Genomic DNA, 18,683 nt, shown 5'->3' with positions numbered 1-18,683 from the left:
TGTTTGCTCTTGCTTTTCTAGTTCTTTTAATTGTGATGTTAGGATGTCAATTCTGGATCTTTCCTGCTTTCTCTTGTGGGCATTTAGTGCTATAAATTTCCCTCTACACACTGCTTTGAATGTGTCCCAGAGCTTCTGGTATGTTTTGTCTTTGTTCTCGTTGGTTTCAACGAACATCTTTACTTCTGCCTTCATTTCATTATGTACCAAGTAGTTATTCAGGAGCAGATTGTTCAGTTTCCATGTAGTTGAGCGGTTTTTAGTGAGTTTCTTAATCCTGAGTTCTAGTTTCATTGCACTGTGGTCTGAGAGACAGTTGGTTATAATTTCTGTTCTTTTGCATTTGCTGAGGATAGCTTTACTTCCAAGTATGTGGTCAATTTTGGAATAGGTGTGGTGTGGTGCTGAAAAAAATATATATATTCTGTTGATTTGGAGTGGAGAGTTGTGTAGATGTCAATTAGGTCCGCTTGGTGCAGAGCTGAGTTCAATTCCTGGGTATCCCTGTTAACTTTCTGTCTGATTGATCTGTCTAATGTTGACAGTGGGGTGTTAAAGTCTCCCATTATTATTGTGTGGGAGTCTAAGTCTCTTTGTAGGTCGCTCAGGACTTGCTTTATGAATCTAGGTGCTCCTGTATTGGGTGCATATATATTTAACATAGTTAGCTCTTCTTGTTGAATTGATCCCTTTACCATTATGTAATGGCCTTCTTTGTCTCTTTTGATCTTTGTTCACTTAAAGTCTGTTTTATCAGAGACTAGGATTGCAACCCCTGCCTTTTTTGTTTTCCATTTGCTTGGTAGGTCTTCTTCCATCCTTTTATTTTGAGTCTATGTGTGTCTCTGCATGTGAGATGGGTTTCCTGAATACAGCACACTGATGGGTCTTGACTCCTTATCCAATTTGCCGGTCTGTGTCTTTTAATTGGAGCATTTAGTCCATTTACATTTAAAGTTAATATTGTTATGTGTGAATTTGATCCTGTCATTATGATGTTAGCTGGTTATTTTGCTCGTTAGTTGATGCAGTTTCTTCCTAATCTCGACGGTCTTTACATTTTGGCATGATTTTGCAGTGGCTGGTACTGGTTGTTCCTTTCCATGTTTAGTGCTTCCTTCAGGAGCTCTTTTAGGGCAGGCCTGGTGGTGACAAAATCTCTCAGCATTTGCTTGTCTGTAAAGTATTTTATTTTTCCTTCACCTATGAAGCTTAGTTTGGCTGGATATGAAATTCTGAGTTGAAAATTCTTTTCTTTAAGAATGTTGAATATTGGTCCCCACTCTCTTCTGGCTTGTAGAGTTTCTTCCAAGAGATCTGCTGTTAGTCTGATGGGCTTCCCTTTGTGGGTAACCCGACCTTTCTCTCTGGCTGCCCTTAACATTTTTTCCTTCATTTCAACTTTGGTGAATCTGACAATTATGTGTCTTGGAGTTGCTCTTCTCGAGGAGTATCTTTGTGGTGTTCTCTGTATTTCATGAATCTGAATGTTGGCCTGCCTTGCTAGATTGGGGAAGTTCTCCTGGAAAATATCCTGCAGAGTGTTTTCCAACTTGGTTCCATTCTCCCCATCACTTTCAGTTACACCAATCAGACGCAGATTTGGTTTTTCACATAGTCCCATATTACTTGGAGGCTTTGTTCGTTTCTTTTTATTCTTTTTTCTCTAAACTTCCCTTCTCGCTTCATTTCATTCATTTCATCTTCCATTACTGATACCCTTTCTTCCAGTTGATCGCATTGGCTCCTGAGGCTTCTGCATTCTTCACGTAGTTCTTGAGCCTTGGCTTTTAGCTCCATCAGCTCCTTTAAGCACTTCTCTGTATTGGTTATTCTAGTTACACATTCGTCTAAAATTTTTTCAAAGTTTTCATCTTCTTCACCTTTGGTTTGAATTTCCTCCTGTAACTAGAAGTAGTTTGACCGTCTGAAGACTTCTTTTCTCATCTCCTCAAAGTCATTCTCCGTGCAGCTTTGTTCCATTGCTGGTGAGGAACTGTGTTCCTTTGGAGGAGGAGAGGCCCTCTACTTTTTAGAGTTTCCAGTTTTTCTGCTCTGTTTTTTCCCCATCTTTGTGGTTTTAACTACTTTTGGTCTTTCATGATGGTGACGTACAGATGGGATTTTGTTGTGGATGTCCATTCTGTTTGTTAGTTTTCCTTCTGACAGACAGAACCCTCAGCTGCAGGTCTGTTGGAGTTTGCTAGAAGTCCACTCCAGACCCTGTATTCCTGGTATCAGCAGCGGTGTCTGCAGAACCACGGATTTTCATGAACTGCAAATGCTGCTGTCTGATCATTCCTCTGGAAATTTTGTCTCAGAGGAGTACACAGCCATTTGAGGTGTCATTCTGCTCCTACTGGGGGGTGCTTCCCAGTTAGACTACTCGGGGGTCAGGGGTCAGTGACCCACATGAGTAGGCAGTCTGCCCATTCTCAGATCTCCAGCTGCGTGCTGGGAGAACCACCGCTCTCTTCAAAGCTGTCAGAAAGAGACATTTATGTCTGCAGAGGTTACTGCTGTCTTTTGTTTGTCTGTGCCCTGCCCCCAGAGGTGAAGCCTACAGAGGCAGGCAGGCAGGCCTCCTTGAGCTGTGGTGGGCTCCACCCAGTTCGAGCTTCCCGGCTGCTTTGTTTACCTAAGTGAGCCTGGCCCCTCCCCCGGCCTTGCAGCCACCATACAGTTTGATCTCAGACTGCTATGCTAGCAATCAGTGAGACTCCGTGGGCATAGGACCCTCCAAGCCAGGTGCCGGATATAACCTCCTGGTGCTCCGTTTCCTAAGCCCATCGGAAAAGCAAAGTATTTGCGTGGGAGTGACCCGATTTTCCAGGTGCCTTCTGTCAGCCCTTTCCTTCACCAGTACTTGACCAGCCCTTTCCCTGACCCCTTGCAATTCCAGAGTGAGGCAATGCCTCACCCTGCTTTGGCTCATGCACCCACTGTCCTGCACCCACTGTCTGGCACTCCCTAGGGAGATGAACCTGGTACCTCAGATGGAAATGCAGAAATCACCCATCTTCTGTATTGCTTACGCTGGGAGCTGTAGACTGGAGCTTTTCCTATTTGGCCATCTTGCCTCCTCCCCCCGTATATTCTTAATTATAAGACAAAGGTTTTTTTTCCTTCCCTAAAACCACTTTTTGTCTGTATGCTGTGGCTCATGCCTATAATCTCAGCACTTTGTGAGGCCAAAGTAGGAGGATCACTTGAGTCCAGGAGTTGGAGGCTACAGTAAGCTCTGATCACACCCACTGCACTCCAACGTGACAGAGTGAGCCCCTCTCTCTCAAAAAAAAAAAAAAAAAAAAAAAAAAATGAAGCTTGCCTTTTTAAAATAAAAATGGTTGTTAATTCTGAGTTCAACATATGTAAACATTCATTTTTCAATTTTGATATTTCATAATATAGTAAAAGATCTTGATTAGGATACCTGTAGGTACTAACCACTAGAAATAACTTGATACACCAGTGTAACTGGTCATAACTCTTGTTTGTCTGTTGAATATTTAGGTTTACCTTTCTAAGCTATTTGTAACAAGAGCCTAAAAACTGGATTTCTTTCATTGAACTTCATACCTCTCTGGTTATTGAAGATGGCAAGCGAGGGGCCCTCTGGATACAGGTCAGTTTCCTGACAATCATCAGGATACTATGATAGGGACACGGTTCCAACCATCCTCATTTATTTAAATAGCAAGCTAATTAAGGGCCTTGAAGAGTATTAGAGAGTTTCACCATCTGCTCATGTCCTGTGATTTAGCTGTATTATAATTCTTTAATGGGAATTTTATAAGAAGGCAGTTTGAGATGCAGAGTTTCCAACAGACTTAACGCAGTTTTTTCCCCTTTAGGTATAAAAAGAAGAGAACATCTCCTGGACCTAATTGCCACAAAGCAATATTACAGTTTATTTGCACCAGGTTGGAAAAAAAGGGAATAGTGTTCAAATCACTGATGGAACTGGAATATGCTTCTATTTCCAGGTGGCTTTAACTATAGTATTATGCAACTTATTTATATTTTCAACTATTTATTTAATAAACCTTACAAACAAGCTATAGGGAATTATCTTACATGTGTAGACTACTTTATAAGTATGTAGGAAGGTAATTTTTTTCAGGTGACAGCTTGCCCAAGTCTCCTGTGGTGGGCAGGGCTGATGTGGTATTTGTGCCTTAGGCTGCAAAGGAAATGGGCTCAAAGAGTTTCAGTGTAGCTCCCCTGGACCCCGGCCCTTCTGGCTCTGGATATGGTACTCTTCACTGCAGTGTGCTGATCCTGGGTGCCTCCAGAAAACCCATAATGTGACTGTTGTGCCCCGCCCTTTTCCCAACAATGGCAGGGCCTGGGACAAGAATACAATACAAGTATTTAAAGTTTATAACTTTATAGTTTGTAAAATACAAGTATTTAAAAAGTTATAAATCAATCTAGCAAACTATTAGATTAAGAAGTGTGTCCTAATCTCCTCCCTTGGCAAATACAACTTTATAACCACCTGGAAGACCAGGTTCAAATTCAGCCCTTGGCTGACCCTTAGCACCCTAAGAGGCCTTGCCAGCACACATGAATACCCCACCCCACCCATCAAAATGCCGTCCAGACCCCATGCGATTGCCCCCTCACCCCAGCCACCTTGCAGCACCAGTGAGATGGCAGCACTGTTCAAACTCAGGATGACAGACCAGGGAAGACCCTGGAAGTGGACTCAGGGCCATGTGGTCAGGAACGCTGGAGTTGCAGGTCTAAAAAGGAGGATGTGGGCTCCAGGGTGGGCACATTCTCTGGTCCATACAGACCCTCTACCCCATGGCAAGAGGGGCATGACCAGAGTATGATCCCTCTGACATACATATATATGTATACACATACACATATGCACATACATACACATATACACATATACATACACATATGCACATGCATACACATAAACACATGTATATATATAAGTATATACATACACATATGCACATACACACTTACACATGTATATATAAATATATACATACACATATGCACATACATACACACATACACTGTATATATAAGTATATACATATGCATATGCACACACATACACATATACACATATACATACACATATGCACATACATACACCTATACACATGTATATATAATTATACACATACAAATATACAATACACATACAAATATGCACATGCATACACATATACATACATATATGCACATACCTACACATACACACATATACATACACATATGCACATACATACACATATACACATGTATAATTATATACATACAAATATGCACATACATACACATATACATACACATATGCACATACATACACACATACACATGTATATATATAAATATATACATACACATATGCACATACATACACACATACACCTGTATATATACGTATATACATACACATATGCACACACACATATACACATATACATACACATATGCACATACATACACATATACACATGTATATATAATTATATACATACAAATATACACATATACATACAAATATGCACATACATACACATATACATACATACACATACACATACACATATGCACATACATACATATACACATGTATACATATACATACAAATATGCACATACATACACATATGTACATACATACACATATACACATGTATACATATACATACAAATATGCACATACATACACATATGTACATACATACATACACATATATATAAATATATACATACACATATACACATACATACACATATACACATATACATACAATGTAATTGGCTTATGTTCTTTTAAAGGCAAGATAAGGGGAAAACTAATCAAACTAATAAAAATACCGTTGCAAGGGAGGTTTGGTAGAGAGGACAAGGATGGAAGCTAGGTTTCTCCTAGTGTGCTTCGTTTTGCAGTTTTGACTTTGGGACTATGTAAATATTTTATGTAATAATGGATAAGATTGATATTTATTTATTTGTTTGTTGAGACAAAGTCTGGCTCTATCACCCAGGCTGGAGTGCAGTGGTGCAATCTCAGCTCACTGCAACCTCCACCTCCTGGGCTCAAGCCATACTCCCATCTCAGCCTCCTAAGTAACTCAGAATACAGGCATGCACCACCATGCCCTGCTGATTTTTATATTTTTTGGAAAGACAGGGCTTCACCATGTTACCCAGGCTGGTCTCGAACTCCTGAACTCAAGCAATCCTCCTGCCTCAGCCTCCTGAACTGCTAGGATTACAGACCTGAGCCACCATGCCCAGCCTGGAAATTAATTTAAGATGACTTTAAAACATAGTTAATAATTTGACTGTATCAAATTATGTCAAATCCCCTAGTGGGATAGTGCCTAAGGATTAAAAAATATTACAAAGAAATCTCACTGGGAGTAGCCATGGTGTTAATAACACTTTTGATTTGTTATTTTGGAAGGTAGATACTAATATTGATAGAAACTAATATGTATAAAATCAAATAAGTTAAATGAAACCCCTTGATTTCTAAACTTGAATTAGATCAGAGAATAGAGGAACATGTTATGTGACTCCATGCAAATGCAGTCAGCAAAGTCTGGAATGTGGGGAAATAAATGGCAAGATAAAAAAAAGGTTGAGGAGCAGAACCTATAAATAATCCTTTAGAGACATGTCAACCAAAAGCAAGGGTAGACCTTGTTTAGATCCTGGTTTGAACAAAACCCACTGCATTTAAAAAAACGAGACAGGGAAAATTAAACACTACCTGGATATTTTTTGATATTTAAAGAAATATTGATAACAATTTTTTTTTTTTGAGACAGAGTCTTGCTCTGTCACCCAGGCTGGAGTGCAGTGGTGCAATTTTGGCTCACTGCAAGCTCTGCCTCCTGGGTTCACACCATTCTCCTTCCTCAGCCTCCCAAGTAGCTGGGACTACAGGCATCCGCCACCATGCCTGACTAATTTGTTTGTATTTTTAGTAGAGACGAGGTTTCACCGTGTTAGCTAGGATGGTCTCGATTGCCCGACCTCGTGATCCACTCACCTCGGCCTCCCAAAGTGCTGGGATTACAGGCGTGAGCCACTGTGCCCGGCCTGATAAATATTTTTTAAGTGTAATGACTAAGAAAAAGTTCTTGAACACAAAACAGGTGTTCAGGAAGTCCTGGGCTAGGCACATTGGCTCATGCCTGTAATCCACGCACTTTGGGAGGCTGAGACAGGAGGAGCACTTGAGCCCAGCAAGATCAAGCCCAGGAGTTTAAGGTCAGCCTAAGTAACCAATGAGACCCCCGTCTCTACAAAAAAACTTTTTTAATTACCCAGGCATTGCTGGGCACAGTGGCTCACACCTGGAATCCCAGCACTTTGGGAGGCCAAGGCAGGAGGCTTGCTTGCTTCCAGGAGTTCAAAGACCAGCCTTGACCACATAGCAAGACCCTGTGTCTACAAAAAAATGTAAAAATTACCCGAGTGTGGTAGTGTGTGACTACTCAGGAAGCTGAGTTGGGCGGGGGGGGTATTGCTTGAGCCCAGGAGGCCGAAGCTGCAGTGAGTTGTGATTGTGCCACTGCATTCCAGCTGGGGCAACAAAGAAAGATGCTGTCTGAAAAAAAAAAAAGGAGAATCATAATTTACTATATGTAATTTATACTTCTGTTTTTTAAAAAGCAATACCTTCTCATTAGTTTGCCAAGAAAGATGAGAATTTATTCTTTTTTCTATTTAGGGAGTTTTCTTTTTGGATTTATTTATTTATTTATTTATTGAGGCAGGGTCTCCTTCTGTTGCCCAGGCTGGAGCGCAGTGGCATGATCTCAGCTCACTGCAACCTCTGCCTCCCAGGTTGATCACTTCAGCCCAGCAAGACCAAGTCCAGGAGTTTAAGACCAGCAATTCTCGTGCCTCAGCCTTCCGAGTAGCTGGGATTACAGGTGCACACCACTGTGCCCAGCTAATTTTTGTATTTTTAGTAGAGACGATGTTTCGCCATGGTGGCCAGGCTGATCTCAAACTCCTGGCCTCAAGTGAAAATAAACCAGTGCCACTTGCCAAGAGAATTAATTAAATAAATATCAAAGAAAAAACACTTTGAACAGCTAGGAGATGGGACTAAAAAATTAGTATTTGACTTAATAGGCACATCCAAAGAGGTATTTATTCTATTTATATTATTCCTGATTAGTAATATTATAGCTGTTAGAACAAGTATAATCTTTGAACCTGTTTTTGAACTGTAATACCACAAAGCATTAAAGCAAGATTTTCAAAATTGATCAAGTATATTCAAGCATATAGCTCTTACTACATTATTACTATGGTGCTAGCAAAATGGTTTGCTGGCACTTGAGTACGTAAGACAATACGATGTTAGGCCAGGCGTGGTGGCTCACGCCTATAATCCCAGCACTTTTGAAGGCTGAGGCGGGGGGATCACAAGGTTGCAGTGAGCTGAGATTGTGCTACAGCACTCCAGCCTGGAAACAAAGTGAGATTCCGTGTCAAAAAAAAAAAAAATTAAATATTTTTTATTTCCTGTTTATTGCATGTTTGAAACTTTTTTCTGTATTTTCTATTTTGGGATGTACGTAATATTGATGCAGGAGTACATTACCTGGAGGTGTAGGCACAAGATTTTCTTACTAGTGGAATGTGAACCAAAAAGTGTAGAGGCCACTGGACTAAAGGAGGCCAGCTGAATTAGTGAAAATATTCAAAGCCAGTTTTGTTGTTTTCAGCAGTCAGTAACAGTCAGTAGACGAACATTTACCAGGAAATGTCGGTCTTTTAAACACTTTGGACATGCTTCTTATTTAGTATGTTCATTCTATCATGACATTCACCAAACATTTATTGAGTGCCTACTGTGTACCACGGATTAGTAAGCACATTAAATTTATAAGCTTTGTTGATTTCCACCACAAACCCATAAGACCTCATGTTATTCTCATAATTGAGGAAACTGAGATTCCCAGTGTTGAATGAAAGCCACACAGTATCACATGGCCAATATCATGTGATTGCAGAGTCAGGATCAAACCCAGCTCTTCACCATCATGCTATACTGATAGCCCTTTCCCAGTTCACAGGGAAAAATCAGGAACAGGGAGAGAATTTTCAAAATATTAAGTTTCCCCATAGAATTTTCTGAAGAACTCTGGTGTATGTTGCCACTTGTTCACTGACAAGTTCTAGCAGATGACAGAACAAATGAGGAAGTAGCTAATTAATATTAATGAACAACCCCAGAATTTTTCTGAGTGTTGAATAGACTTGAATATTCAACAGTCTCAAATATTTGACAACATTTAGTGGACACAGACTTGACTCGATATGCTTAGTCTACCAAGTTTTTCCTGGCTTATGAGACACAGCTGAACATATGCCAGTTTCATGGGGGACTGTCAGATATTCTGAAGGTACCTAATCAAGTCAGTACAGTAGGAAGGAGAGAGAAACAGAAGTCTCGTTTGTGAAATACTACTTGAGTTTGTGCGTGAAGAATGGATAGGATTTAAACTGAGAAGAGTGGCAAGGGGACAACCATAAACAACTATAGAGAGGCTGGAACCTTAGCTGTCCTGTAGGCAGCAGGGATGCCTGGAGGCATGTGGAAACCACGAATGGAGGGCACAGGACATTTGACAATGCAGTGCATAAGCTCAACATCAGACAAGTAGAAGAACTTCTGTAAGATGTCAAGGAAAACTGCTTTTATTAAATATCTTAATTTTTGGCAGAATCATTTTGTCTGATATAATGTGATGGGTTTAGTACCACATTACATTTCACATGTTATGTTCTGAAATCTGAAACATTTATTTTTTTTAATCTAAGAATATTCCCTGGGCTTTTGAAGCAATAAAGAAAGCAAGTGAATGGGTAAGAAGAACTGAAGGACAGTACCCATCTATCTGCCCATGGCTTGAACTGGGGAATGACTGGGACTCGGCCACCAAGCAGTTACAGGGACTCCAGCCCATAAACACTGTGTCCCCTCTTCATAGAGTCCTTCATTACAGTCAAGGCTAAGTCAAATGAAACTGAATTTTAAACTTTTTGCATGCTTCTATGTAGAAAATTATCAAATGATAATAGATACTTATAATGAAACTCCATTAAGGTTTTATTCAGTGTAGCAATTAGTGTCTTTAAAAATAAAGTGGAAGCAGAACTACTTTAATCAACTAACAAGCAATAGTGAAACTTAAAATATTTCAGTTTTCTGTCTCATTTTTTGTTATTTTATTTTTTATATATATTTTTTGAGACAAAGTTTTGCTCTTGTTGCTCAGACTGGAGTGCAATGGCGTGATCTCAGCTCACTGCAATTTCTGCCTCCTGGGTACAAGCAATGCTCCTGCCTCAGCCTCCAGAGTAGCTGGGATTACAGGTGTGTGCCACCATGCCCTGCTAATTTTTTGTATGTTTAGTAGAGACAGGATTTCACCAGGTTGCCCAGGCTGGTCTCGAACTCCTGATCTCAGGTGATCCACCCGCCTCGGCCTCCCAAATTGCTGGGATTACAGGCATAAGCCACTGCACCTGGCCTGTTGTTGTTGTTTTAGAGATGGTCTCAATCTGTCTCCCAGGCTGGAGTGTGGTGGTGCGATCATACCCCACTGCAGCCTCAAACTCCTGGGCTCAAATAATAATCCTGCCTCAGCCTCCTAATTAATTGAGACTATAGGCAAGTGCCACCACATCCAGCTAATTTTGGGGTGTACTTTTTGTAGAGATGGGGTCTTGCTATGCTGCCTAGGCTGGTCTTGAATTCTTGGCCTCAAGCAATCCTCCCACCTCAGCCTCTGAATGTGTTGGAATTACTTGCGTGATCCTCTGCACCCAGCCAGTGTTTCAGAGCTTTAAGGTGATGAGAGATGCTTCTGGATGGTCCTGGGAACCTGCGTCCTTCGCACATTCAGGAGTCAAGTGGAAAGCTGGCTCAGCTGGACTGAGCAAGCTCAGAAGAAATATGGCCTTTTGTAGGGGATCTGTCAGGATGGTGGGAGAAATTATAAAAATTAAGTTGTAGGAAATAGACACAAAACTTCTTGGAAGGCTGGCAGGTTTACATAGCTTCAGTAAAAGATTTGGGTGAAGGCAGCTGAATTCTCTTAAAAGCTTAGGGCGTAGATACATAGGAATGTAGAGGAGTTTATCTAAATAGCTTGTTTTCTCATGTGGTCCTAAAACAGACCTTTGATCATTTGCAGGTGCATGACTGCTCTCTACTCAGGAGGTCAGCAATGTTAATTTCCCTCTAGAGGTGTGGTGTTTACTTGAGACCTTTGTCATTAAAACTGTGCTGAATAAATGCCTGGAGCCCCAGCCTGACAGGGCTGTGACTGCTGACTCTTTACAGCACCCTCCTCAGTGTCTGGGAGCTGCCCAGTCCCCTACCCCACTCTTTCATGGGATACCTGTGTCTGAGTGCATTTCTTCACCCGTCATGCAGCCAGGTTATGCAGGTTAGACCCAGCAAGTTATTGACAGAGTTTGAAAATTATACAGGATTGGTTGTTGAGTTGGATGTTTTAGTCAACATTAAGCACATGCCTCAGCAGTAGTTGACTTTTGTCTAAAGGGAGAGAAAGAAATTCTAATTTTCCCAAATGTCCAAGGCTCCAAACAAAACATACTGAATTAAGATTTCCAGAAGAAAGTCCTGGCAACTTGGATATTTAATAGGTGCTCCAGGTTATCAAGCACATTAGAACACAATGGCCCAGGTGCTGTATCTCAAAGTGTGAGTCTGTGGACTGGCATGGTCTGCCTTACTTGGGAACTCAACAAGAGAGGCAGAATCTCTGATCCTGTTTGAGACTATTGAATCAGAAGCTGCATTTTATTTAGCAAGGCCCCCAGGTGACTCCTGTGCATGTTTATAGTTGAAGGGCTAGTGGAATGTGGTGATAGGAACATATTTGGTGCTTGTCCAGGGCCTTGTTTTAAGAACCCATGATGCTTGTGCCCAGTAGAGCAACTCATCAGTCCAATTGTTGGGAGAAAAGCTGAGGCAAGACTTGCTAGTCTGACATAATATGAAAAGAGCCTTGGAACATATCCTCACTACAGAGTTTAAAACTTCTTGTGGCCTGTGGAACACCAGGTTCTGTGCTTAAGGGTGGAAGGCTGCCCCACCACACTACAACCTAAGCCCAGGGCATAAAACCCCTCGTGGCTTGGATGGAATCCAGGAATCAGGACATAAAACCCCTCGTGGCCTCTGGAATGTGTCCAGACTTGCTGGCTCCTTGCTTCTTGCTCTCCCAGGATCACAAATTAATTGTATCTTGAGGTAGAAGGAAATGTTCAACATTATCTCGAGTGGCAGAACATGTTCCTTATGCTTCAAAGAAAATGCTAGACTGACACAGCTATAAACTAAACACTTGATGTGACTGCTTCCTTTCGACCAGCATGTCCTCATCATCTGCTTCTTTGTTTAATCACCAATAAATGGTGTGGCTCCCAGAGTTCACGGCCTTCACAGCCTCTATACTAGTGTTGGCCCCCTGGACCTACTTTATGTACTATTAGCTTGTCTTGTCTCATTCCTTTGACTCCACCAGACTTTGTAGCCCCCATGGTCTGGTGTTCAGTTTGATCACCTCAACACCAATGTGGCTATTTGTGACTGCCTTTGTTTTATAATATTTTTATTATTCACCTTGTACAGATGAAGACTTCCACCTGTAGAGGCCAAAGTGACCACACTGCAGGTAGAGCAGGCATTCACCAAGGTGTTTGTGATCCTGGGGTGCAGCTCCCATTCTTGGCTGCCTGGCTGCTTCTTTCCAGACCTACTGTCTTGTGACATCCCCTTAGGCACCCAGCACAGGCTGCTGTCTGATTTAGAACTGAGCCTGTTCAGTTGATGGCTCAGTGCAGGCCTTTAAAAAACATCCTGCTGTTGGTTAGTACATCAATGGTTGGCTTACTTATTTGGTGTTCATTTTTTCAGTTTTCAGAAAGGTCAGTTGAAATGCTGCTGGTGGCTGTAGAATTGATACACAGGGAGGTTTTTGATCTGTGAGCTTTCTAAGGGACAATTGCTAAGCTGCACTGATACCTTGAGCCCCTTTCCTTTGGAACAATGTAGAGCCCAGTTCATGGCTCCCAGAAGTTTAGGTCCAGTAATGTGGCTGCAGGCCTAGAGAATGGGAGGCTGCAGACTTGGACTAATGGTGAAATCTTGCCTCCCCCCAGGGATATGTGGCGCCTGTCATAAGCTCCAGAGAGCTGCCTTCCATAAGACCAGCAGAAGAGTGGGCAAACATGAAGTCCAATCCCCCTATCCAGGCTGCCATTGACCTCATGGCAGGGGCTGCAGTTACAGTCCTGTGCCTCATAAGCATGTTTCTGTTGGTGATGGATGGTGTATCTGATGGTGGTCCCATGAGATTATACCATCTTTTACTATAACTTTTCTGTGTTTATATACATTTAGATACACAAATACCACTGTGTTACAGTTGCCTACAGTATCCAGTACAGTAACATGCTGTACACGTGTGTAGCCTTGAGCAACAGGCCATACTGTACAGCCTGGGTGTGGAGTAGGCTATGCCATCTAGGGTCAGGTGTGTATGTTCTATGATAGCACAATGATGAAATTGTGTAACGACACATTCTTCAGAACATGTCCCAGTCATTAAGAAACGCCTAAGAATAATCCCAGAGAAAACCCAGTCTTCTCTATTCCTCAAGTACCTTCTAAATGAGATCAAATGAAAGTGTTATGAAAACATTACCTTTCTCCCTCTAGAAGTGATGAGCTTTACATGTGGGATGAATCCATTTGATGGAAGTGTGGTATTGTTCAGAGGGTGGCAGAAGGTAGAGGAGTGTCCATTATTGCTAACACCTTCTGAGTCAGGGTGAGGGGAGGAATGTGCCCAGTACAGCTGGAAAACAGATCAGAGATGAAGCCCCTTGTCTGTTGTCACCTGGCTGGGATAGGCAGGTGATATTGTTCTTCACTTCAAGCCTGGCAGTCTTCAGAGCCCTTGTAGTGCAAAAATAACACCATAGCATCTCCCAGGAAACATCACTTACTGTCCCCGCTAGTGTTGGGAAAGAAAGGAGGACACTCTTTAGAAACGTCTTTTACAATGAGACTGATAATGGACTGTGTCTTAGAGCCATGAAAGGAAAGAAGTTGTAGGATTTCCTGGGAATGTCAGCTAACCTGAGCCTAGGGGCCTGAGCCCAAGAGCAGACTGAGGCTCCCCAGCACAGGGAGGTGCTGCCTGTGAAAAGGGGGTAGTGTTGGCACAGTGCAGGCTACTCCCTAGAAAGATCAGCTTGAATATGCAGGAAGAGCAGGACCCTCGGGCTGAGGCACAGGTGGAATGGGAAGTGCATGGTGGTGATTTAGTTCTCCAGGGGCCAGAAGTAGGAGGAGTGGTTGGAATGCTGATGGCCCAAAGGGAAACCCTGGACTACCCTGGCCTCCCACAGGACTCTCATAGTAATTGCGGCACTTTACAGTGGGGAGGCTAGAAGGAGTGTTGCCGAATGCTGTCCTCATCCAGTCCACCCCCCACCCACCAACAACAGATGAGTATGGTCATGAGTGTGGTCACCTCATCAGTCATTTGCTCAGTTGTGAAAAAGAAACTGTTCAGTGAAGAGCAAAGTGTTTTTCCATGAGCCAAATGTTGGCCAAGGTATGCTATTGAGGAGGACTGGAGACAGCGTGTCACAGACACTGATAAAGAGCACTGGGCAAGGGCACTTCTCCCAGGGCAGAGTCCACATGGAGTGTCCTGGCACCAGACGCTCAGTGAACTGAAGGTTGGCAGGGGCCCACCAAGTAGTCTCTTGCCCTCTGCGTGCCTTTAGGCTACAGCCGCCCAGGCCCCTTACCCCCTCCCCTACCCCGTGCCACACTGGGGAGGATGCTGACCCTGAGAGTGGTGCAACCATCTGCCTGCCCCTGGCCACCACCTCTCACCAGCACGTGAATGCTCTTGGGCTCAGTTCTGTCTCTTCAGTAGGAGGGTGTTTAGCCACATGAGAGAGTCTCACATTTTGACATTTTATGTCTTTCAGTCTGTCAAAGATCTAGAACATATTGTGAAGGAATTAAAAAGTTTACTTTTGGCTTGGCAAGGTTGCTCAAGCCTGTAATCTCAGCACTTAGGGAGGCCGAGGCGGGTGGATCACTTGAGGTCAGGAGTTCAAGACCAGCCTGGCCAATATGGGAAAATCCTGTCTCCACTAAAAATACAAAAATTAGCCAGATGTGGTGGTACACGCCTGTAATCCCAGTTACTTGGGAGGCTGAGGCAGGAGAATTGCTCGAACCCAGAAGGCAGAGGTTGAAGTGAGTGAAGATTGTGCCATTACACTCCAGCCTGGGTGACAGAGTGAGAATCCACCTAAAAAAAAAAAAGAGTTTACCTTTTCCTATTTATGTGCATACAGGTATTTGGGTACCACATTTGTAATTTACAGTTAGTTTGAAAGATAGAAATTGTAACAGTATGTTTGGGAGCAAGGTATGTAAGGCAGTTGCTGGTGGGCATGTTTTGAACATGTATTGGGCCCTTATATGTATGATCTCTGTGATACCATCATTACTGTTCATTTCTTCCAGGAGAGGAATGACACACTTCTCACTTTAATTGCCAGATTATCTCCAATTCTGAATCAGTGGAATATAATTTAATATGATTTTACTATGATTGAGTCATTCTCTCCCAGGTACTGCTGGGCTAGGATAAAATGAGATCTGAATTACATTAAAATAATTAATTATTCCAAGAGAAGAGGTGACAGAATGTTTTAAGTGGGTGTGTAATTTAGATAACCTAGATGCAGATAAGCTGAATAAAGCATTTAATCCAGCACATTCATATTTTTACTTGATCATCAGCAATAGGAGTTTGAAACCCAATCGCAGCTGCAGGTCCCACACAACTGAATTCGGTTCCGTGTGCATAGCAGTGTTGGCTGGAGATGCCTGGAGGTCTGAAGGTGTGCCCTTTTATAGGCAGGAATTCCACCAGGATGGGTATAGCTTGTTTTTTTAAAAGGCTTGGGACTGGATACGATTGCCCCAGAAGACCGTGTAGACAGTGAGGAAGGCTGAGCATGAATGGGATGACCTACCAGCACAAAAAGGGCAGGCAGAAAGGCAGTAAAGAAACGAGCAGGGCACAAACCAGGAGAGTGTGGCATGACACCATGGAGACTGAACAGAAGCAAAACCACGGGCAACTGTAGTGTTGTTCCCTGTTGAAGGAGAGACACTCTATTACAGAAGACCTGGACTTCAGTTCAGCTCAGTTTCCTTAGCAAAGGACAAAATGGGGAGAGAAGACAGGGAATCAGGGAAGAAAAACTCATTCACTTATGTGAGGCAAACATCACATGCAGTCATACTAACCAACTAAACATGATAAGCTACAAAGAACTATGGTATTCACTGCTCTCAAAACGCTACTGAGATTACCAAGTTTTAAGCTTATTTCAAGATTATTTATAGGTGATTCCCCAATTGGGAAACTCATTTCTGAATTTCTTCTCTCCTAAAATAGATCTACAAAAATTAACAAACTTTATTCCAGTAAGAAAATTTGGGATGTACTGCTTCAACCCCTGTCCTAAGGAAATTATCCAGCCTGGAGGGTGGGGTGCTATCAACTGCCTGCCAACATGTTACCTTCTGGCATCCAGAAGCTTCCCTGTGCCAGATGGAGCCACCAATGTGGGGAGGAGAGCACAAAGAGCAGAGAATCCACAGAAACCATACCTGCAGGGACCAAACACCATCACACCCCACTGCCGTGAATGCAAATGCATTTACCTGTTATTACCATCTCCCTCAGCATTTTGAATCTATTCTGGGATTAGACAAACTTCCAACTTAACTGCTATGTTTAATAAAAACATGGTAAAGGAAGAATCGGGGCTATTAAAATATTTAAGAATGAGAAAGTTGAAAAAAGAAAAAAAGATGAAGATTGTGTTTGGCCTGACTTCTCCCCACCATAAGGGGTTGCCACCCAGCTGGAGGCCTGCTGGTTTGTGTGGGCCAGCCCTCAACACCTCAGTGACCAAACGAAATACAACCCTCACTAGAGCTTCTTGTACTTGGCAAGACCCAGGCGTAGACCTGGGCTACCAAACAAAACCTTGTGTTTTTAGAGCCTGGGAACAAGAGCTTTGACAGTTTCCACAAATAACTCTTCTACAGCATTAGCATTTCTATTTTCACCTACCTGCAGCCATTACTACATTGGCCTCTGGAAACGTCACATCAGGTGTTCTTGAGATAAAATACCATTTACTATTTTTTTTTTCCTCTAGGCCCTGTCCCTTTGATGTTAAGTGGTGGAGGGAGTTGGCGGGATTTGCCTCTGGCTTGCGGTATATCCAGTGGATTGTAACAAATCCAGAATTCAAGTTCTTTCCATATCTGGAAAACAGGCAGGATTTATCAGAACCTTTATAAATGTTGTGAAAAATGAAGGTGAATAAACACCTGTTTTTCCAGCATCTAGTACACATCTTAAAATCTGAGATGTGAACTTCTCTGTTTTGATTGTAAAAGGAAAGAAAACAGTAACACAGAAACTTTGTGTCCCAAATAGAGCACAGATAACTTGTCTATTACTCATAGTAATCCTCCCTTAAATTTGTGTAACATGTGAAGTTTTACAAAGTACTTATGCCTCCCTTATCTAATTCAATCTTCATAACCACCCTGTGCAGTACTAATATTATAAACCAGTCTCCAACCTCAAGGTTGGTGCTCTTGCCACTGCCCAGGTGAAGCTGCAAAGCTGTGGCCACCTCTATCTCCACGGTTGCATCTATCTGGCCATCTCAGGCCTCAATGCTGCCCCATCCATATACTGAGTTAACCAAGCATGGAATTGGGGTGTGTTACCTGAACATCCATCACTTTCACCACGAGACCTGATACTTGTCCTTGTTTCTGTTGGTCTATTTAGGGAAAGCTGGGAATGCGTCCTTCCATGACTTGGTTTTTAGCACTCTTGTCTGGATTTACATGTGTAAATATACCTGTGCTATGCAGCTGTGTGGGTGTCCCCAAAGGAGGGATTGTTGCAGTCTTCGCTTGCCCTTTTGTCTTCTAGGAATAATGGCCTTATATTCTGGACTGAAACCTACTATGATTCGAGCATTCCCTGACAATGGAGCACTCTTTTTGGCCTACGAATATACCAGGAAGTTGATGATGAGCCAGTTGGAAGCATACTGAAGTGTCTTGGAGGGCCTGAGCCAAGCACAGGTGTTTGAGGACTACAGTTCATCTCATGGTTTCTTGTAGTACAAGACCAGTGTGAAGTTATTCTGATTTCTTGGGAATTTTGCTTTTTTGTCTTCCCTTATACCCTACATCTCAAATTGTATGGAAGAACCTCTATTTTGCATCATGTCATTTCTGCCCATAATTGTACTGAAATAGAGAAGTCACTGCTCTTTCCCTTGGTAAAATAGAGAGTGGTCAGTAGACTTATGCACCTAATTCAAAAGACTGAGTACAGTTCTGTCAGGGCTTTTACATAAACCTCTACTTGCACATGCAATTTGGACAGTTATGTGCTGAGGGAAATACAGTTTGGTTCCATGTTTATTTCAGATATTACCAGAAAAACCCAGAGGTGATCGTTTCTCATGAAGATGCTTACAAATGGTTGCTTAACACA

At 42.3% G+C, this 18,683-nt stretch overlaps 2 pseudogenes; both read left to right on the top strand.

Annotated features, from left to right (window-relative positions):
• PARP4P1 (poly(ADP-ribose) polymerase family member 4 pseudogene 1) overlaps positions 1 to 10,209 on the top strand; it is a 39,988-nt pseudogene extending 29,779 nt beyond the window's left edge.
• Positions 17,314 to 18,432, top strand: SLC25A15P1 (solute carrier family 25 member 15 pseudogene 1; annotated as a pseudogene).
• Positions 18,433 to 18,683: the final 251 nt, after the last annotated feature.

This window comes from Homo sapiens, chromosome Y (genome assembly GCF_000001405.40).
Source record: "Homo sapiens chromosome Y, GRCh38.p14 Primary Assembly".
NCBI classification, from domain to species: domain Eukaryota; kingdom Metazoa; phylum Chordata; class Mammalia; order Primates; family Hominidae; genus Homo; species Homo sapiens.
The sequence above is the reverse complement of the archived record's forward strand: the minus strand, read 5'-3'. Positions and strand labels throughout refer to the sequence as shown.